Raw genomic sequence first — 23,284 nt, 5'->3', positions numbered from 1 at the left:
TGTTACTCAGAACTTAACTTTAGTGGACATTCCTCTAATTTTAAATGGCAAATTAATACAAATGATGGTAATGATGTGGCCATTAGAGCTGATCTCTAGATTAAAGAACCAGTTTTACAACTGCTAGAATTTTTTGAATAGTCAACTTCAATTTTTTTAATGGTTACTTAATTAAAGGGAATTAGAACTTTAGCAATATGGCAATTTAATTTAAAAAAATGAGAAAGAAGTGTCACAGCTACATCTTTCATTCATTTTAATTTGAGAAAATGTATTATCTTCTCAGAGAATATATAAAAGGAGCTGAGAAGCATTTTTCCCAAAAGAAAATGGGTTATAATAATACGAATCACAAAGTTGCCTCATATTCAGTTGTCATTTAGTCAATGTTATTAACTTGGTTTTATAATAGCTTAAGAATAGATTCTCATAGAGTAATTCAATCGGTGAGAGCAAGTTTCTTAACCCCTGTTACAGAAAATCTCTTCTATTGATTTATAGGGCGTGTGACAAATGATGAGAAATGCAAAGCAATCATAATGCTGTATGGAATACCAGGCCTTACAAGCAGTTGAAGCTAAGAGATCATGTTTGTGCATTCATCGTTACTTGAGCTTTCTGATCTATCTATTTCAAGAATCATTAGGTTACTTAAGAAGAACTTCTAAATGCCACACACAATTTTTATTATAATATCTTTTCATTTTGGAAAGAACACTATATGTTGCAGGTCCAGTTTCCCAGCTGCCTTGACATAGATAACTGCAGCCCTTTGAATGGTGTGCATCTAGGGACATGCACTGATTCTAGGGCTCAAAAAGTTGCTATTCACTTTGTTTAAAATATATGTTCGCTTTTAAATCAGAATGTTGCTTATATTAGAATACCCAAAACCCCAAGAATATGCAATGTCCATTTTTCAGGACATTAACCTGGTTCCTTGAATGGGAGCCATTGTTATTTTGCAGGCAAAAATGTGTCACCTTTTCTATTCCTAACCACGTCAGTACTGAAAATCTGGTTAGTGATTAGGTGCCTTTTAAAAGAAGCAGCAACATCACTCCTTGGAGCTGAAGGACAATGAAAAACAGAAAGAAAGAAACAAGGAGCAAAATAGAACTAGGGTCTCTGGGAATCTGCTTTCAAATCCTGTGTACCTTATTTGGAAAAAAATAAGTGCTATCAATTTCATTTAAACTTATTTAAATGTCAGTTTCTCTGCCTTTCAAAAGACGTAAAATGTAAATATTAGAAGCAGAATGCCCTCCTGATGTGACCAGTTTTGAATGAACAAATAGTAAATAATGCCAGGTAAAATTAAAGGTTGTCCTCAAAAGTCAAATTCTGATTTGAGCAAAGCCTATTTATAGCATAGTTCTTTGTCCCAGACAGAGAAACCTTTCAAACATTATTACCCAGAGTTCATCATTGTTAAGAAACAATCATTCCTTCTTATTCCTTCTTATTTGATGATATAATAGCATTTGGCATATTTTTAAATCCACATATTAATTCAATTAATATGTATGTAGCACCTGCAATGTATGCAGTTCCAGACCATGGGGTGGCTAGAAAAACGGATTAATCTAGGTGCTGTTAAGTAAATACAAAATAATTGCTTGATACAACGTTTGTTTTGGAAAGACAACTGAGACAGGGCACTGAGGAGGTGATTTTGGAATAAAGGTCAGAATCAAGTGGAATCAACAATACACTAAGAGAAGAGCGTTTAAGAAAGGAAAGCATGAAAAAGATGAATCCGTGGGTAATTGTTTGAAGATAAACGAGGAGACCAGAGTGGCTGGAGGAGGGAGAATCAGTGAAGGAGTGTGAGAGAGAAGGTGAGAAAGGAAGTCAAGGGCCAGATTATACAACGCCTAGTAAGAACGTGGGATTTCCTTTTTATCCTAACACAAAGTTATCAGAGAGTTTTGAGCAAGTAGATGATAGCATCTAATATTTAATATTCTAGAATTTTTATGCATTTTATATGAAAATATTCAAACATGCACAGAAGTGGAGAGAATAGTATGATAAACACACATATACCCATCACACACATTTAATAATTATTAAAAATTTACCATGCTCACAATTTATCCATCCCAGGTTTTGTGTTATTTTTATATATTTATTTTTTATTGTTTTCATTTTTTAATATATTATTATTATTTCGAGACAGGGTCTTGCTTTATCACCCAGGCTGGAGTGCAGTGATGTGACCATGGCTCACTATAACCTCGACCTCCTGGGCTCAAACAATCCTCCTACCTCAGCCTCCCAAGTAGCAGGGACTACAGGCATGTACCACTAAACCCGGCTAATTTTTGTGATTTTTGCAGAGACAGGGTTTCGCTATGTTGCCCAGGCTGGTCTTGAACTTCTGGGCTCAAGTGATCCACCTGCCTTGGCCTCCCAAAGTGCCGGGATTCCAGGTGTGAGCCACCGCACCCTACCTTGTTTTTGTTGAAATGAAAATCCCAGATCTCATATCACTACTACTTGCTGAAACTGTAACTTCAAAAATTATAGACATTTTCTTACATAGACACAGTCATTATTCCACTCAACACAATGAATCTTTCCTTAGCGTTACATACTACTTGGTCCATATTCAGATTTCTCTTTTAAACACAGTATGTTACCACATTGAACTGAAGTTTCAAACTTGTTACACACACTGTATTCAATTATTATTTCTTTTACGTATCTTTTAGTTTGAAAGTGTCTTTCTCCCCTCCACCATCATATCTTCAACATGTCGTTGATTTTTTAAATGCATCTTGTCCCATATGCAGGATTTTTCTGTTTACTTTTGGTGATATCCCTTGAATTGTTGCTTCTTTGTCTGTATTTGTGTATACTAGAAATTAGCTAGGAGGTCTTGATTAGATGTTTTTCAAAAGAAAAAGGCTTTATAGTACAGATTAAATCACAGTAGGAGACACAGAGTGTCTGGTTGCCCAATATTAGTGAGCCTATGATTGGTCTGTGTGTTCTAGGGTGACAGTCTGATTTCTTCATTGTAAAATCCTCCATCGACAGCTCATCTTATTCATTGATAATTTTTGCCCGAATCAATTATTTCCTTAGGATTTACTAAATGGCAATTTTCGAATCCTGTCATTCTTTCCGTATTTATCAGCAGGAATTATGTGTAAAATAATTTTCTCTAAATATCAAGTGTTATTTTTCTCTTAAATACGCTTTGCATGAGAAAGACAAGATAAATACTGAAGCCTTTTTCTTGAATGAGAATTTTCAGAGGAAGAAATTTGTTTCCTATTTACTAGCAATGATATTTCTCTCTTTCTCTCTGTCTCTCTCTCTCTCTCTATACACACACACACACACACACACACACACACACACACATACATACATATAAAACAAATATATGTATCTGTCTCTTTGGAATATTAATATGAATTCGTCGATTTTATATATTCAGTATGCTTCAATCTATTGTATTCATTACTGTTTTTGGTGTTCAAAATGTTCGCTTTTGTCTGGGAATCCCTTTAGTTTGACTCTTGTCTTTTTAACATAACCTTACTTATCTTTGAGCTTGTTTACTTTCTAGCACAACAAAGTGCTTCTTCGCATCTTATACATTTCCTACCCCATCTAGGAATTAGTCAACTCTCCCAACAAGCTGAGTTCTATTACTGAGAAATGGTAGAAACCACTGTCAAGACAGCAGATATATTCATTGCTGTGGCTTCATTTTTGCTTATTGGTATTTTCAGTAGCTAGAATTAGAGAATACATCTTTGGAGAGAAAAAAATCAGAATTCATACTGTTGTATCAAAATAAAGGTAAAATAGTTTATTTCTACCTTACTTATTTTAGACTTACAACTCTTTCCTCTTAACTAGAAATTAATTTTTCTAAATTATATAAATACTGTCTACTTTTCTTTATCCTATAATGTTTAAAATAGTTATAAAAATTCTAATATTAATACTCCAAATGAGACCACTGAGTTAAACTTGAGATTTCCTTCCATCTCTGTTTGTCCTTTGGATATACTTCACTTTGCAAGTATATCCAAAATACTGTGTATAGACAAAGTACTGTGTTTTGAGGTCACTTGGAAAATTATTTTTTATGTAATTGTGTCACCAATTTGATAGTTAGGTTCATTGATTTCTATTTTCTCTCCTACAGATTGCTTTTTAAAATCTTTGATCCAATTTTAATTTTGAAATTGTGCAACATTTAGATTTTTCCGAAGTCAAATAAATATAACAAAGTATATTTAGAGCAATTTTGTTTCTATCTATCTCTGATATTTCCATCCTGATCTCTGGTCTTTCTTTGGGTAACTTTTTGTTCATTTATACATCAATTGTTCTTTTTGAAATTGAAGCAAGCACATACAAATATCCATGCCACCTTCATAATACTATAAATACTGGTCTGTACTTTACTTTTCTCACTTAACCCTATATCTTGGAAATTATTTCTTTTCAGTATATAGAGATATTTTCATTCCTTTTTAATGCTTCATGGTATCCCTTAGTATGGAATTAGTGAGGGTATTAATTTCTAATTTGATGGGATCTTTATTTAATTGATAATATAGTGCAGGGAAGCAAGGGAAAAAGCAAAAAGACCAGAAAACTATGGCAATAGGTTATAAAAAAGGTAGATTGGACTAGGGCAATAGTGGTAAAAGCATGCAAAGTAATCAAAATAAGGAAATATTTTGAAGGTAAAGCTATTTGGAGTAACTGATGACTTGAATATAGGATGAGAGAGGAAAGTGACAAATCCACATTTTCCACCTCAACAATGGGGGGATTGGAATGTTATTCACCAGAGGAGGAGCTGATGTGAATGTGGTAATGGCAAGGGTTCACTTTGGGACATATTATTTTGAGATGTATTTTAAATATCCAAGTGGAAATGATGAGTCAATATGTAAATCTGAAATTCTGGGGAGAAGTCTGGGATGGAGCTCTAAATTTGGGCATTAATAATTTAGTTTTATTATCTCATTTGCCATTTAGCATCATCATTAAATTTTGTAGCTTCTTTCGTGTCAGTTTTTGGTTTAGATCTTGACTCTGGTGCTAACAGTGGAATCTTGGGAAAATCACTATATGATTTTAAAGTATTTTTAACTTATAAAAAGGTGATAATAATAGTATTATTTCAAACATTTATTTAATGTTTGACACAACATATGTAAACTACTTACAATAGTGGTTATTTTGAAATTTTAAATTAATGTTAGTGTTTTTTTTTATTTAAACTACAGGACAACCCCTAGATGTGTATAAGTAATTCAGAAAATGTTATTTTGCCTCCATATATATTGCCTAATATTCATCTATGATCTTCTGGGTTATGATAATATAAATATATAGGAGGCATAGCCCCTAACTTTGAGGACCTCATGGTATCATTATCCTAATATTACAATTGGAGAATTACAATTGGAGAATTCAGCTCAAAGGAAGACTTGCACATGTTTAAATAGTGAATTTTTAGAATATTATTTATTCAGACATGCTTTGAACAAATTGTACCAAGTAACAGTAGGTAAAGTCTAGAAACAAATTCAAATAAAAACTACATGTGACTATATGTTCATTTTGCCCTAAAAAATCCATATGTAACTTTTTATTTGGGATACTAAACTAAGATGTTGATTTATAGAATGCAACGAAGGTGTACAAAGTTCTTGCCCTGATGATCTTATTTCAGTGTAACGGCAGCATGTGTGATAAATTAGTTGGTAGTTCAAATAGATAGGAGGATCAAACATAAATGGTGAGCAAGTGGAACCTAGAAGACCATCGGCCAAAGAAAGCGTTCCTCAAAAATTTGTCTGCATACATAAGGAAAGGCTGGGTGAAGTACTGAAAAGGAGAGAAGTTTATTACTGCAACTATACAAAAGGGAAACTAAGGTCACGTAGTGAAAAGATAGAGAACATTTGTAGGTAGGGAAAAGTATTTCTTTGTGCTTGAATTTATGTATATCTGTGTGTGTGTGTGTGTGTGTGTGTGTGTGTGTTCTCTCATAATAATAACCATGACAATTCCGTGGAGATTCATACTTTATAAATGAGAAACAGGGTTTAGAGGAGATGAATAACTTGCCCAAATTCAATCAGCTAAGGAAAGAGTCCAGATTCCCAATCTTTGCCCATGGACTCTTGCTCTGCCACTCACACTGCAGTATTAGTGCACAGAAGACTTGGCTCTGCATGATTTCTCACTTTGGGGCTCCTATATTCCAGGGGAGCTGTTCATTGCATTTGGTCCTGGAGGAAGAACTCTATCTTTGGATGAATACCACTATATATTGAAACCTTAATACATATTTCCCTGATTAATATTAATCAACTCAAAGTAGAAAGAATCACTCTTTTTAAAATGAGGAAATCATGGTGTAGAGATTAAGTAGTTTTTCAAAATATTCACAGGTTGTACAGTAATTAAGTGATCTGGAATTCCATCTCTTTGAATCCAAACCTTGTACTTCCTCTCATCCAACAGAAAACTTGTGTTATATCCCAAATGAATCTTAGTAAATCACCTTTTTCTGACTTCCTCTCTGCTTCTTATTTTATCTTTAATGACTGTACTAAAGTCATAATTTATGTGAAGTCTCATAAAAGTGATCTGGGCAAAGTTATCTGTTTCCCCAATGTGCTCCTAAAGCAACTTGTCTATGATAGCCATTCGATTTCCTCTCCATATTCTGTGTAATGATTTGTTTTGCATAATAGATTTGAACTCCTTAAGGCCAAAACTGTTGTTTCACTTATCTCTGGAAGTTGAATGCACTAAATGAATTTCTCTGTAGAAAGGAAACACTAGTGTTATTTGGCAAGTTGTATTTCTTCCTGTTTTTGCCACTTTTTTAAAAACCTCTTTTGAGTATGATGAATGAAGAAGGAGATAACTGGATACATTTAGGTTAAAGAGATGTAAAACAATTTAAATTACATTTGCAGAATAGAATAATGGAATCCGTGGACAAAATTGGAAAATAGTTAAAAATACAGCCTCACATTTTACAAACCAATGATTTATTTGGGGTCAGGTAATACCGATGCTTTAAGGAGCTTTAGGGCTGACTGGAAAGTAGAGATAAGAACGATAATTAAGTAACCTAAGGTGTTAATACATATTTTTAAATTAAGAGCATAGAGCTGTTTATAAAGCTAAGAAGAGGAGAAAGAAACTGATATAAATGGTTCTTTTACACTGTGGGGGGATAGTTGAATGGGTCCACAAGGCATGCCCCAAAGATCTGATGCCACAGATCAAAAGAGATAAAAGGTTTACTGGTGGAAACATTCGCATGTGTGATACTAACTTCAGAGACCTCAGCAGGGGAGATTAGAGAGAAGGGAACATGGAGGAGCCCTGAGTAACTAATCTCTTCTGAAAGAATGTTGACTTGGAAAGACTTAAAGGCTTAGAAAGGAATTCCTAGGAGGGTACATGCTGCCAAAGGAAGCACACAAGAGACTAGGATAGGTGTGATGTAGTAACATTTTACTCGAGGGCGGGCTTAGTGTAGTGGGGAGAATATAGTCTTAGGAGTCACCCTGACCTGATAGAAATGGCTGTTTCATCTCTTACTACTTTTTAACTTCTCAGAAGCCTACTTTCTGAGAGGCAGCAAGAACAAGTTGATGAAAATGACACCTACTCTGTGGTTCTTTTGGAAGTAAAGGTGATGTAACACATGTAAAGAATATAATTTAATATCTGGCAAATGTCAGGTTATTCCTTTCTCTTACCTTCCACACTTCTGCATTTCAGATCTTTTTTATGTATTATTAAAGCCTTTCCTCTCATCCACTTAGCATGAATTAAATAATAGAAGCAAATGTTGGAATTTAAAGGAGTAATACAAGACAGATGAGATAAAGAGAAAAAATGATGCAATAAAATATCAGTGGAAAAATATAGAGAGTCTGAAAGAAAATTCCAAAGCAAAGATTTTTTAGAATGATTCCATTGGTAAAGGAAGAATAGAACAAACCTGGGATTTAGGTTCTAACAGTAAGTCCTTGGTACACAAATGACTAAACCCTTCTGTTTTTTAGTTTTTTATTTATGTAAAATTAGTACAATAACAACTGGACATCAATGTAAACCCGGGGGAAAGTAGGAATGTATGTTTAAGTCCATTGAAGAAGCTTAAATTCACAATTGGCTTTCATAAAATTAGATCTGACCTGGCTAGGTATAACCATGAGAACTCTGTTCCGTTGATTTTCTATCCTATACATTCAGATTGCTGCACACTTACAGGTGAGTTAATTTACTAGGTGTATAATAAAACATTTAAATACTTATCCTATTATTAATGAGTGGGAAGCTGGAGATAATGCCTGAGTAGAACTAATTTAGATGCTTTCAAATGAAACAAATTATTTATTAAAGCATCACAATGGTTATTAATCAAACACTGTCATAGAAATTAAATGACACTTAAATCAACAATTTAAAAAATTCATATATTGGTACCTATTATTGTTATAGTTGCTTTCAATATTTATGTTAAGCCTTTTTTCATTATGTGCCATATCTGATAGTCTCAACAACTCTGAACATTGGTAATGTTACTTCACTATTGTGATAAAATGAATGAAAAAGAAATAATGATTAAAGTAGATTATTGGCTCTGAAGGGTTATGAAAACACAAAACCAGGACTTGGACCAATTCTTGAGATGTCAGATCTCTTATTCTACTAGCCAAACTGTGCTTTAAATATATCTGGAGACTTTTGTGTATCATAGTGTGAAAATATCACTGGTAAGATTTAGCCTTGGATTTTCTACTTTTAGAACCTATATACCTAAGTTTCTTCCAAGCCACTGTTTCCAGTTGAGTACCTGTATTGGTTTACAATGGCTGCTAAAACAAAGTATCATAGACTGGGTGGCTTCAACAACCGAATTTCATGTTTTCACATTTCTGGATGTTTGATATCAAGGTGTCAACCAGGTTGGTTTCTACTGAGGACTCCCTTCTTGGCTTATAGATGGTCATTCCTTTCTGTTGTCTTCATATAGGTATCTTTGAGTCTGTGACCAAACTCCCCTTCTTATAAGGACACTAGTCACATTGGATTATAGCCTACTCATATGACCTCATTTTACCATAATTATCTCTTAAAGGTCCTATCTCCAAAGACAGTCACATTCTGAGGTATTGGGGGCTAGGACTCCAGCATATGAATCTGGGGGGACACAATCATCCTTTAATGGTCTCTCTCTCTTTCCCGTTTATTTGAGTAAGGCTTATCTATTCACTGCCATGTAATTGCTCAGGTCTTGGTTGTGCAATGGGAAATCTCTTCATAGAGAAGGGGGTCAAAGATAAACTGAACCAAAGCTAAAGAGATATTTGGTCCAGAGAAGTTCAGCACTGATAGCACAGACATAAGAACAAATTTAGATTCTGGCTCCAAACAAAGGAGGTTGGTAGAATCTGAGAGTATTTGGTTGCAAGGAAGATAAGTCTAATTAATCTAATTTAACCAAACACAGGGAATTATGGGAACTATTTCTTCTTTTATTCAATTACCTGTTTATTCATTTAAAATAATATTTCAAATCGTTAAGGTGTATTACAGGCACTATTCTCAGCTGCAGGGAATACAAAAGTAGACAAAACATACTAAAAGCTCTACTTTTGTGGAAACTACAATAACAGAATGGGATAGGCAAATAAATATTTGGTACACAAAATGGTGAAATGTGCTACTGAAAAAAAGAAAAAAGTGAAAGTGGATAGCTGATGGATGGATGAATGAGGGTGAGTGCTATTAAAGTGACCAACTCTCATGGTTTGCCTGGAACCGAGGTTGTTACTGGGGTGTGAAACTTTTAATCCTAAAATTGGGATACTCTGAGGCAAATCGGAATGGTTGGCAAATCTACTTCTAATTTAGGAAGCATTGACAGGAAGTAGTCTCTGAGAAAAGACATTTGACCAAAATTCTGTAGGAGGTGAGGAGGTCACCCAGGTAGATATATAGGGGAAGGCAAGTCTAGTCAGAGAGAAAAGCAAATTTAATAAACATGAGGCAGGTGAATTCCTGATAGGATCCAGAAGCAGCAGCAGTGCTGTAGCATGGTTGGAGCTGAATACCTCGGAGAGTGAGTGGTAGGGAATGAGGTCAAAGAAGTGACAAGATCTGGGTCACAAAAAAGCTTGTAGGTTAATAGAAGTACATTGAATTTTACTGTGAGCACAGTGAAGAAATACTGGAGGGTTTTAAGACAAATATTGCCATCATCTGACTTATATTTTAAAAGTATCACTCTTAAGGCTGCTGAGAATAAACTTCAGAGGGCAAAGGCATAAGCAGAGGGACAAATCAGAAAGGTATTTCAGTAATTCTGGCAAGAAATGATGGCAGTTCAGAGCAATGGAAACTAGAGAACTGCTGGCATTCTGTTTGTTTTGATTTGTAAAAGATTTTGCTAATAAAGTGAATGTAGACTACAAAAGAAAGAGAGGTATAAAAGAGAACTTTATTTTATGGCAAGAAATAGGAGATATTGAGTAGGGAAGATAGATATGTGATTCTGGAATTCAAGGCAGAAGAATGGATGGAGAAAGAACTTCATATAAATGTACACTAACCCAAGCCATTAGACCTTGATTTTTGAGCAGACATGGGATACATTACACAAATGAAACCTGTATCTTAAAAAGAATTGCAGAAATTACATCTGTCTTGATAAGAAGAACACATGCACAGTTGTGAGAGGTGGGAGTGGGAGTTTATGGAAATTGTTTTGCAATTTTTTCTTATTTTTTTCAGGTTGTGAAATTATTCTGTAATTGTTTATTTTGTTTTTTTCCAGTTGTGAAAATCAGAATCATTATATGAGAGTGAGAATGAGAAATGGGAGAATGAAGACCAGAAACTTCAGAAGACAAAGGTATGAAATTATCATATTAAAGTTGCAAGAGCGAATGGCCCAGGGAAATGTAATTAGATCATCAGGCAGCATTAAGGCCCACTTGATAGCAGAGATCACTATATTTAAATAGGTTCATATAGAATATCTCCGAGTTTTTATCTAGCCACTTTTATCTGCATGATATAAACATGGAATAGCTAAATAATTGGATTTAAATAGGGCTTAAGTTTCAGCAAAATTTGTTTGGCAAAGTTAGAGAAAGGCAAAGTTGGAGAGGTGAAAGACCCTGTGAGAAATAAGCCAGGAGTTCACTTTTAATGATTGACCTTGAAATTTATGCAGAACAGAGAGTGAAATGAGAGGAAACCAAGATAGTTGAGAGGTAATAAAAAGGTGGTAGGATGAAGAGATTAGAGGCCTGGTGTGGTGGAATGGTTACTTAAATGGGGAACAAAAGGAAATATACATATGGGCTAAAGCACAGGTTCCAAGAGAAAGACGAATCTCCCATATGCCTGAAGACAGCACCCCAATGGTTACCTCCTCTGTGTTTTTGAGAGTACATGGTTTCTTATCTCTGCTTCTCTTTGCATGTCTGCTTCATTCTTTTCCTTGTCTCAAGAGGTTACTTTCTCCCCTTTGGTGGACATATGGTTATCCTTGACACAATATTACATGGAATCCCTGTTTTAAACCCCTTAAGAATCCAGGACAAAGAGAATCTGTTTTGTTTGGCTTGGCCCCAACTGTGTTCTAATCAGTCAATACCAGGGGTATAGAGTAATGAATCTTAGTACCCCTCAGCAGGAATAATGAAAATTGACTTCTAATAAGAGGACATGAGCAGATTTTTTAGTAAGAGGGTGTAGAGATTAGAAAGAAATAATTGTTAGAGGAAGTGGTTGGCATTTTATGAAATTGACTGAAGCATCAAGTTAATTGTCATTATGAACTAGTTTCAAATTAGAATTACTGACAGAAAGGAGAGCTATCATTTTAAAACCAGGTTGAGAGTTCAGGCTAGCAGTTGTTTGCCTTGCCTTGAACAGAACGGAGCCCTCAGAAATAACGCCACATATCTACAACTATCTGATCTTTGACAAACCTGAGAAAAACAAGCAATGGGGAAAGGATTCCCTATTTAATAAATGGTGCTGGGAAAACTGTCCAGCCATATGTAGAAAGCTGAAACTGGATCCCTTCCTTACACCTTATACAAAAATTAATTCAAGATGGATAAAAGACTTAAACATTAGACCTAAAACCATAAAAACCCTAGAAGAAAACCTAGGCATTACCATTCAGGACATAGGCATGGGCAAGGACTTCATGTCTAAAACACCAAAAGCAATGGCAACAAAAGCCAAAATTGACAAATGGGATGTCATTAAACTAAAGAGCTTCTGCACAGCAAAAGAAACTACCATCAGAGTGAACAGGCAACCTACAAAATGGGAGAAAATTTTCGCAACCTACTCATCTGACAAAGGGCTAATATCTAGAATCTACAATGAACTCAAACAAATTTACAAGAAAAAACAACCCCATCAAAAAGTGGGTGAAGAACATGAACAGACACTTCTCAAAAGAAGATATTTATGCAGCCAAAAAACACATGAAAAAATACTCACCATCACTGGCCATCAGGGAAATGCAAATCAAAACCACAATGAGATACCATCTCACACCAGTTAGAATGGCGATCATTAAAAAGTCAGGAAACAACAGGTGTTGGAGAGGATGTGGAGAAATAGGAACACTTTTACACTGTTGGTGGGACTGTAAACTAGTTCAACCATTGTGGAAGTCAGTGTGGCGATTCCTCAGAGATCTAGAACTAGAAATACCATTTGACCCAGCCATCCCATTACTGGGTATATACCCAAAGGACTATAAATCATGCTGCTATAAAGACACACACACACATATGTTTATTGCGCCACTATTCACAATAGCAAAGACTTGGAACCAACCCAAATGTCCAACAATGATAGACTGGATTAAGAAAATGTGGCACATATGCACCATGGAATACTATGCAACCATAAAAAATGATGAGTTCATGTCCTTTGTAGGGACATGGATGAAATTGGAAATCATCATTTTCAGTAAACTGTCGCAAGGACAAAAAACCAAACACCGCATGTTCTCACTCATAGGTGGGAATTGAACAATGAGAACACATGAACATAGGAAGGGGAACATCACACTCTGGGGACTGTTGTGGGGTGGGGGGAGTGGGGAGGGATAGCATTAGGAGATATACCTAATGTTAAATGACGAGTTAATGGGTGCAGCACACCAGCATGGCACATGTACACATATGTAACTAACCTGCACATTGTGCACATGTACCCTAAAACTTAAAGTTTAATAATAATAAAATAAATAAAAAAATTAAAAAAAAAGAAAATTGGCTGGCAAATCATTTCCTCTGGATTTTCCAGCCAAAACGCATTCTTCTCTCAGTCTTTCTTTCTCTATAGCTTTTAAAGTTTGCCTCAAGTTCCAACTTTAAATTTAACTTCCCCAACCTTTCCTATTCATGATTTTCTATGCCTGTGTAATATATAACATCTCTAACATTTCATGAATCATAATCATAGGCAACTTAGTGTTATACTTTATTCTTCCTTGCTTCTCATACGCTCCTCTTGTTCAGGTAGATAGTGGAAAGGAAATTTAAGGAAAGGTAGTATATTTATTTTTTTCCACCGTCTAGAAGCCAATGACTAGTAACAGATAGTAAACATCTTCTATATTCCCATACCCATCTTGCATTTAAACCTGTTTAAATCAGCCGGGCATGGTGGCTTACATCTGTAATCTCAGCACTTTGGGAGGCCAAGGCAGACAGATCACGAGGTCAGGAGATCGAGACCATCCTGGCTAACACGGTGAAACCCCATCTCTACTAAAAATACAAAAAAAAAATTAGCCGGGTGTGGTGGCGGGCACCTGTAGTCCCAGCTACTCAGGAGGCTGAGGCAGGAGAATGGTGTGAACCCAGGAGGCGGAGCTTGCAGTGAGCCGAGATCACGCCACTGCACTCCAGCTTGGGTGACAGAGCGAGACTCCGTCTCAAAAAATAAATAAATAAATAAATAAAATTAAAAAACTGTTTAAATTAAATCAATAAGTAACCATTTATATTTTTTAAAAAAGTATATGTATAAGACAATATGATAACTGGAATAGAATGCATAAAAGTGAAGCAGATGCCCTACAAGACCTTTCATCCAATAGAGCCTCAAGTGACTTAAGATGAAGAATGCCTATTTGTAAGGAACCATGGTCAACAGGGAAAGTCCTGAAGTCTGGCATTGAACATTTAACTAGGGATGAGAGGGACTTCAAAATGGGATAAGACTGATGGCCAAAGCTTTTGCAGAAACATGTTCAGGCACTAGATTATGAAGATTCTTTAATGCAATGCAAGATTCGAGGCTTTCTTCCCTAAACGTTTGGTAACTACCAGTGGATTTTGAGGAATAGGGTATTGAATTGTGCATAGAAGGAGTTAAAAATGATAATCTAGTAATTTTAAGATTAAAAGTATGAATAAGTGGGTGAATAACTGAATGACAAGACTTGATGTCATCAGTCCCTCCATGGTAAGTGCTAAGGAAAATCAGATACATTAACAGAATGGGTAATATAGGTGATATTTTACTTAAGATCTTGATCTTAGAAATACATTTCTACATGGCATTGGCATAAATAAACTGAAAAAATACAATTAAGAAATGCAGCTGCTCAACTTTTGCTTTTGGGCATACAACACAATGTGGAAGGTCTAAATAAGTGACTACAGGTAAATCTATCTCATTTTTCTCTCCGGCTCCATTCTGGCAGCATTGAGTGGGTGAGTATTTGGAAGGAGTCGAGAATCATGAGTTGTAAGCCTCAAATAGAACCTGAGAGAATTCTAGCTTCTATGTTACCAGTGTAAAAGTGCATTTTTTTTCTAGCTGTAGTATGAAAATTTGAGCATTATTTTTGTGAGGAGTTGGAGGGAAATGTCCTTTAACATCAAGGAGATCAAGAGGTTAAGTTTGCATTTTACAGGCTGGTATCAGGCAAATAAATGGGTTCTGCAGTGTGTGTGTCAGCCAATGACTTGACTACTTTCTGAGAAGACCTTCTGGTTTCTCCATGTAAGGGCTGTTTATGCTGAAAACATTTCATCCTTATGCCTTGACAATCCAAATTAAGAATTTAAATATTATTATTACTATTTAGTATCACACTATTAACTCTCTAATGCCAAGTGTCTCAGTGTAGTTAAAGTTGCTAGATGTTTGTAGAGGTGGTTGATATGATCATTGTGATTTAATCATAGGCTGTGTATACTTATGTAACAAACCTGCACATTATGCACATACATCCCAAACTTAAAGTATAAAAATAATAGTAATAATAGGCTGTACTATTTATTGAGTGAGTGAATGAATGAATTATAACTACAACCTATGAATTATTTATATTCAGTACAAACTAATTTTTAATCTATGACTTAGATGTTTGTATTGCTAAGCAAAAATATTATCTAATTATTTTCTTTTTTCTTATTTTTGGCTTATTATGCAAAAAAAGATACAATAGAAAAAAATATTGGTGAAAGTCTTGGGTTTAAATTTTGGTGCCACTCTTTGTCAATTGTGAAGCTGGTCAAGTTATTTCATCCATATAACCATAACCTTCCCATCTGGAGAAACTTGCTTGGGTTCCATTTTCAGCTGTGTTATTTACTAGCTATAATATTGAAAGGGTTTTTAACCTTTTTGCTTCTGTTTCCTTACTATTAACATAAAAATTAAAATAGCACTTACCTCATGAATTTAGCATAAGGATTAAGTGTGTTAACATGTAAATTATTTAGAGTAAGACTGATATATGAAAAACAACAAGTATTATCTATTATAATCTATGCTTTTGAATAAAAGTTTTATAGGGATGTTGAAAAAGGCTAAGAGTTGTCTGAGATACAGTGGATGCCCGATAAACATTAATTTTTTAAAATCTTATTTAAATATTTTTATTTCAGTGGCTTTTGGGATACAAGTAGCTTTTGGATACATGGATAAATTATATAGTGGTGAATTATGAGGTTTAGTGCACCTGTCACCTGAGTAGTGTACATTGTTTGTAATATGCAGTTTTTAAATCCCACACTCCCCTTCTCTCCTCTCCCCCTGTTGAATCTCAAAGTCCCTTACATCAATCTGTATGTCTTTGTGTGCACATAGCTTATCTCCCACTTATATGTGAGAACATATGGTATTTGGTTTTCCTTTCCCGAGTTATTTCACTTAAAACAATGACCTCCAGCTCCATCCAAGTTGCTGCAAAATATAGTATTTTGTTCCTTTTATTATTACATCACATTTCCTTTATCCACTCACTGGTCGATGGGCAGTTAGGTTGGTTCTACATCTTTGCAATTGTAAATTGTGCCGCAATAAACATATGTGTGAATGTGTCTTTGTTATATAATGTTATATAGCATTATATAATGACTTCTTTTCCTTTGGGAAGATAGCCAGCACTGAAATTGCTGGATGAAATGGTATATCTACTGTTAGTTCTTTAAGGAATCTCCATACTGTTTTCCAGAGAGGTAGTAGTAATTTACTTTCCAATCAGCAGTATATAAGCATTCCCTTTTCATCACATCTATGCCAACATATATTGGGTTTTGACTTTTTAACAATGGCCACTCTAGCAGGAATAAAGTGGAATCTCATTGTAGTTTTAATTTGCATTCCCTGATGATTAGTGATGTTGAGAATGTTTTCACACATTTGTTGGTCATTTGTATATTTTCTTTGGAGAAATGACTGGTCGTGTAATTTGCCCACTTTTTCATGGGATGATGTGTTTTTTTTGTTTTTTTTTCTTGTTGGTTTGTTTGAGTTCCTTGTAGTTTCTGGATACTAGTCTTTTGTTGGATGCAGGATATGCAAATATATTCTCCCATTCTGTAAGATGTTTATTTACTCAGATGATTTTTTTTTTTTTTTTTTTTTTTTTACTGTGCAGAAGCTTTTTAGCTTAGTTAGGTCCCATTTATCTACTTTTGTTTTTGTTGCATTAGCTTTTGAGGTCTTCATGATGAATTGCTTTTCTGGACATGTCCAGAAGAGTGTTTTCCAAGGCTACTTATATAATTTTTATGGTTTCAGATACTAGATTTAAGTATTTGGTACATCTTGAGTTGTTTTTATTAGATGAGAGGAATCCAGTTTCCTTCTTCTACATGTGGCTAGCCAGTTTTCCCACCACCATTTGCTAAATAGGGTGTCTTTCCCCAATTTATATTCTTGCATGCTTTATTGAAGATCAGTGGGCTGTAAGTATTTGGCTTTATTTCTGGGTTCTCCATTCTGTTACAGTTGTCTATATGCCTATTTTTATACCAGTATCATGCTGTTTTGGTAATTTTAGCCTTGAAGTATAATATGAAGTCTGGTAACATTATGTCTCTAGGTTTGTTCTTTATGCTTAGGATTGCTTTGGCTATTCTGGCTCTTTTTTTGATTCCATATGTATTTTAGGATATTATCCCTAATTCTGTGAAGAATGATGTTGGTATTTTGATGGAATTGCATTCAATCTGTATATTGCTTTGGGCAGCATGGTCATTTTCACAATATTGATTCTTCCCATCCATGGGCATGGAATGTGTTTCCATTTGTTTGTGCCATCTGTGATTTCTCTCATAGTGTTTTTTAGTTCTCCTTGTACAGACCTTTTAACTCCTTGGTTAAGTAAATTTCTAGGTATTTTATTTTATTTTATTTTTGCAGCCATTGCAAAAAGAGATTGAGTTCTTAATTTGATTCTCAGTTTGGCCATTTCTGGTGTATAGCAGATTTGGGTACCTTGATTTTGTAACCTGAGACTTCACTAAATTTATTTGTCAAATCTTGGAGTTTTTGGAAATGTCATTAGGGTTTTCTAGGTAAAAAATCACATCATCCATGAGCAGTGATAGTTTGACTTCCTCTTTTCCAATTTGGATTCTCTTTTTTACCTTCTCTTGCTTGATTACTCTGGCTAGAACTTCTAGCACTATGTTGAATAGAGGGGTGCAAGTGAGCCTCCTTATCTTGTTCCAGTTCTCAGGGAGAATGTTTTCAACTTTTCCCCATTCAGTATGATGTTGGCAGTGGGTTTCTTATATACAGATTTTATTATTTTGAGGTATGTCACTTCTATGCCTAGTTTTTTTAGGGCTTTTATTTTAAATGGATGCTGGATTTTTTCAAATGCTTTTTCTGCATCTATTGAGATGATCATATGGTTTTTGTTTTTAATTCTATTTATGTGATGTATCACATTTATTGACTTGCATATGTTAAGCCATCCCTGCATCCCTGGGATGAAACCCACCTGATCATGATGTATTATTATTATTATTTTTGATGTGCTATTGGATTGGGTTAGCTGGTATTTTGTTGAAGATATCTGCATCTATGTTCATCCAAGGTATTGGCCTGTAGTTTTCCTTCTTTGATATGTTCTTTCCTGGTTTGTGTATCAGGGTGATACTGGTTTCAAGTAATGACTTAGGGAGGATTACCTCTTTCTCAATCTTTTGGAATAGTTTCAGTAGAATTGGTACTAATTCTTCTTTGAATGTCTAGTAGGATTCACCTGTGAATCCATCTGGGCCTCTGTTCTTTTTTCGATGGCAAATTTTTTATTACTGATTCAATCTTACTGCTTGTTACTGGTTTACTCAGGATTTATATTTCTTCCTGACTTAATCTAGGAGGGTTGTATGTTTCCATGAATTTGTCCATTTCTTCTAGGTGTTCTACTTTGTGTGCATAGAGATGTTCATGGTAGTCACAAACCATCTTTATTATTTATGTGGTATTGGTGGTAATGTCTACAAGTTCATTTCTAATTGAGCTTATTTGAATGATTTCTTGGTTAATATAGCTAATGGCTTATCAATTATTTCTATCTCTTCAAAGAACCATCTTTCTGTTTCATTGATCTTTTGTGTGTTTTCTGTTTTAATTTCACTTATTTCTGCTCTGATATTTGTTATTTGTTTTCTTTTGCTAGCTTTGGGTTTAGTTTGTCCTTGTTTCTCTGAAGTACAGTATTAGGTTGTCAATTTGTGATCCTTTAGACTTTTTAATGTAGGCATTTAGCACTGTAAACTTTCTTCTTAGCACTGCTTTTGCTGGGTCCCAGAGGATTTGATAACTTGTGACACTATTATTATTCATTTCAAAGAATTTTTAAATTTTCATCTTGATTTCATGATTAACCATGAAATAATTCAGGAGCAGATCGTTTAATTTTTACATGTTTGTTTTGTCTTGGAGGTTCCTTTTAAAGTAGATATCTAGATTAATCTCTTTATGTACTTGATATGATTTCAATTTTTAAAATTCATTGAGAGTTGTTTTGTGGCCTATCATATGGTCTAGTTAAGAGAATGTTCTGTGTCATGATAAGAACAATGTATATTCTGCTGTTCTTAGGTAGAATGTTATGTAAACATCTGTCAAGTTCATTTATTTTAGAGTGTACATTAGGCTATTGTTTCTTTGTTGACATTTTTTGCTGATGATCTGACTAGCACTATCAGTAGTATATTGAAGTCCTCCACTATTATTGTGTTGCTGTCGATCTCATTTCTTAGGTCTAGTAGTAATCATTTTATAAATCTGGAAGCTCCAATGTTAGGTGCATATGAATTTAGATTTGTAATGTCATCTTGTTGGACTGATTCTTCCATCAATATAAAATGACATTCTTTGTCTTTTTTTTCTGTTGCTGCTTTAAGGCCTGTTTCATCTGATATAAGAATAGCTATTCCTGCTTGCGTTTGGTGTTCATTTGCATGGAATCTGTTTTTCTACCCCTGTACCTTGAGTTTATATGAATCTTTCTTTGTTAGATGAGTCTCTTGAAGACAGCATATATTTGGTTTGTCATTTTTTAATCCATTCTAACAATCTATATTACATAAGTGGAGCATTTAGGCCAATTATATTCAACAAAGTTATTAAGATGTGTGGTACTCTTCAATTAATCCTGTTCATTGTTACCTATATACTTATTTGTTTTCATTGTGTAATTGTTTTATAGGCCCTCTGAGTTTTGTGCCTTTGAAAAGTTCTGTTTTGGTGCATATAAGACGTTTATGTCAAGATTTATAACTTCTTAGAATTTTTTGTAAGGGTACTGTGGTAGTGACAAATTCTCTCAGCATTTATCTGTAAATAATTTTATTTCTCCTTCATTTATGAAACTTAATTTTTCTGGATACAAAGTTATTCACTGACAGTTATTCTGTATGAAGGAGGCTAAGGATAATACCCCAATTTCTTCTGGCTTCTACGGTTTGTGCTGAGAAGACTGCTGTTAGTCTGATAGGTTTTCCTTTATGAGTTATCTGATGCTTTTGTCTAATTGCTATTAGAATTTTTCCTTTATATTGACTTTACATAGCTTGATAACTATACACCTTGGTGATGACTTTTTTGCAACTAATCTCCCAGGAATTCTGTGCACTTCTTGTATTTGGATATCTAAATCTCTAGCAAGGCCAGGGAAGTTTATCTCGATCATTTCCTCAAATAAATTTTCCAAACATTTTGCTTTCTCGTCTCCCTCAGGAATACCGATTATTCTTAGGGTTGGCCATCTTACAGATTCTTGGAGACTTTGTTCATTTCTTTTGATTCATTTTGCTTTATTTTTATCTGATTGGGTTAATTAAAAAGCCCTGTCTTTGAGCACTGACATTCTTTCTTTTACTTGTTCTACTTTATTATTAACACTTCCAATACATCTTGTAATTCATTTCATTTCCAGCAGTTCTGATTGGTTTTTCCTTATGACATCTATCTTTTTAGAAAAATTTTCATTCATTTTTGATTTTTTAAATTTTTTTATATAGGCTTTCATCTTTCTCTGGTATCTTCTTGAGCAGCTTAATAATTAACCATTTGAATTCTTTATCTGGTATTTCAATGACTTAATCTTGGTTTGGATTGACTGCTGGAGGGCTAAGGGTGATCTTTTGGGAGTGCTACAGATCTGTCATATTATGAAAATTATGTTTCTGGTTCCTTCTCATTTGCATAGACTTCTTATTTTTGAAATTATTTTTTATTTGACGGTATTTTTTATCATTCCTTTTTCCCCTTAATGATGTGACTTTTATGTTTATAGTTTATTATAGCCTCATTCAGCTCTTGGTGCTTTAAGGGTTGAAGACTTTACATAAGTTCTTTTGAAGCTTATCTCATTCTCCCATGGTATGTATTTTTTATATATTTATATTTCCCCTAGTATTTTATTTACTGGATTGAATAGTTCAGGATTCAAGCCTAAACATCTGGAGATGTCTTCAAGTAGAAACTGGTTATGGCTAAACCCAGTGGGTGAATGCAATATCCAATGATGGGCAGAAGTCCCAGCTTTGACAGAGGTGGTTAGAGAAGCTGTCAGTGAAATGCACTGAAGTCTTAACAGAGGGGAGAGTAGGAGCCACCTCAGTTCCCTTGCCAGGTCAGCAGGAAACCTATCCACTTCCCAGAAACACTCCTGACCCAGTATTCCAGCTATTCAGATCAGACAGCCACCTCTTTTCATCTGCTGGATATTTATGTTCCAAGCAGAGAGGAATTGTGACATTTCCCCTTGTGCAAGCCTGAACCTGGAGGGTGCACCTGTGATGGGGATGTAATCACCACAGTCCAGAAAGGCTGTCTATATATGCACCCATTCTTCCTGTAAGATATATATATATATATATATATATATATATATATATATATATATGCTTATATATATTTATATCTATATATGCTTATATATATGCTTATATATATTTATATCTGTATATGCATATATATGCTTATCTATCTATCTGCTTCCTGTGAGAGAAGCCCCAGCTGTGTCTGTAGTGGTGGATGAAAGGCAAAATAAGTCACCTTCTCCAAGACCCTTGACAAGCACCAGCGCTGCCTGACTCTTGCGGTAGAGCTGCAGATTCTCCTTGCTGAACTCTGTACTACACCTGTGCCTCTGTTGAAAGAAACTTCCCACCAGCTGAAAGATTTGGGACTCAAGGACTGCCATCTGGATTCTTTCATCCTATAGGGTGTTCTCTTGATGTGGTGCACTCTCCTTCCTCTAGGAGTAGGGATCCCTGAGAACCAAGCTACTGTGAATACTGCTGCTCCTCTGGGTCTAGCTGCCCAGTGGGGTTACCACACTCCAGGTTGGTGCTGGGGAATGTCTGCAAGGGATCCACTGATGTAGATTGTCACCAAGTCTCCCAGCAGCAGCTCTGATGGGTGTGGCAGGGGAGTGATACAGACTCTGAGATTCCTTAATTAGGGATAGCTTTGGTGTGTTGGCTTTCTCAAATGCTGGTTGTGATAGTAATGAACTAGTCGTGTGGACAGACTTCAGACCTTCTCATTAGCCAGGGTAGGGTGGGCAATGGTAATAACCAAGGCCATACACAATTTTTATCCTTCCTGAGTGCTACGTTATTTTACCTGGAGATGCTGTAATGGACTGTGTCGGTTGACCTCTAGCCAAGAGGTGGTACTTGCACCTTCCTACTGCAGCTGGAAAAATACCAGCTGCAGTAGTAATGGTAGGATACATACTTGCCTTATGTTATCCAGGGGAGATACTCTTGTTTCTCAGGTGATGGGCAGGGCCATAAAGCTCCCAAAAGTTTCTGTCCTTTGTGTTGAGCTACTAGGGGAGGCAGAGGAACAAACCCAGGTGGGGGCTGGGTGAGGCAGATCTGTCCTCTGGCTCCCAACATGTGGGTCAAGCAGTGTCCCCTCTGGGAGTTGAGAGGTGTTTCTCTGGCTTCTGCTGCAGAGAAAATGTTGCAGAGGGAGTGGAAAGTAGCAGGTGCCGGTAACCCCCAACCAGCTCCCAGATACTTGGTAAGGCAGATCTCACATCTGCAGTATTCTGCTAGCAGCAGTGAGTTAAGTTCCAGGTCATTTTCGATTAGAACTCAAAACTGCCTCAGGCCATAAGCCTTCCTCAGGGAAGTAGCTATCCCAGCTTTCAGGCCACACCCCTCCCAGTCTAACCACAAAGCTGGGGCACCCCAGCTCTTGCACTCATGGCTGCAGCACACTTCCACTCACACTACCCCTGATTCAGTTCTGGCCAAGGGACTTCATCCCCCCTTGAGGTCATATTGCAAAATTCAGGTGGGAGTTTCTTTTAACCTATGACCACTGCCTGAGTTAGTTGGTAGAATTCTGTGAAGTCCCCTGTGACACAGAATAAGAAATGGCTTCCCTTGATCCATGCTGGAGACTGGGAATGCACACAAGGCTCTTCTCACTGCTGTTTCTC

The 23,284-nt window shown here is 35.6% G+C and overlaps 1 long non-coding RNA gene across 1 annotated transcript in view; it reads left to right on the top strand.

Moving 5' to 3' along the window:
- LOC107984371 (uncharacterized) overlaps positions 1 to 23,284 on the top strand; it is a 63,332-nt gene that overhangs the window by 19,981 nt on the left and 20,067 nt on the right. The window contains exon 2 of the long non-coding RNA XR_001748074.1: positions 10,856 to 10,933. This is a non-coding gene — a long non-coding RNA (uncharacterized LOC107984371). The remainder of the gene's footprint in view (positions 1 to 10,855; positions 10,934 to 23,284) is intronic.

Source organism: Homo sapiens, chromosome 11 (assembly GCF_000001405.40).
Source record: "Homo sapiens chromosome 11, GRCh38.p14 Primary Assembly".
Taxonomy (NCBI): Eukaryota; Metazoa; Chordata; class Mammalia; order Primates; family Hominidae; genus Homo; species Homo sapiens.
The sequence above is the reverse complement of the archived record's forward strand: the minus strand, read 5'-3'. Positions and strand labels throughout refer to the sequence as shown.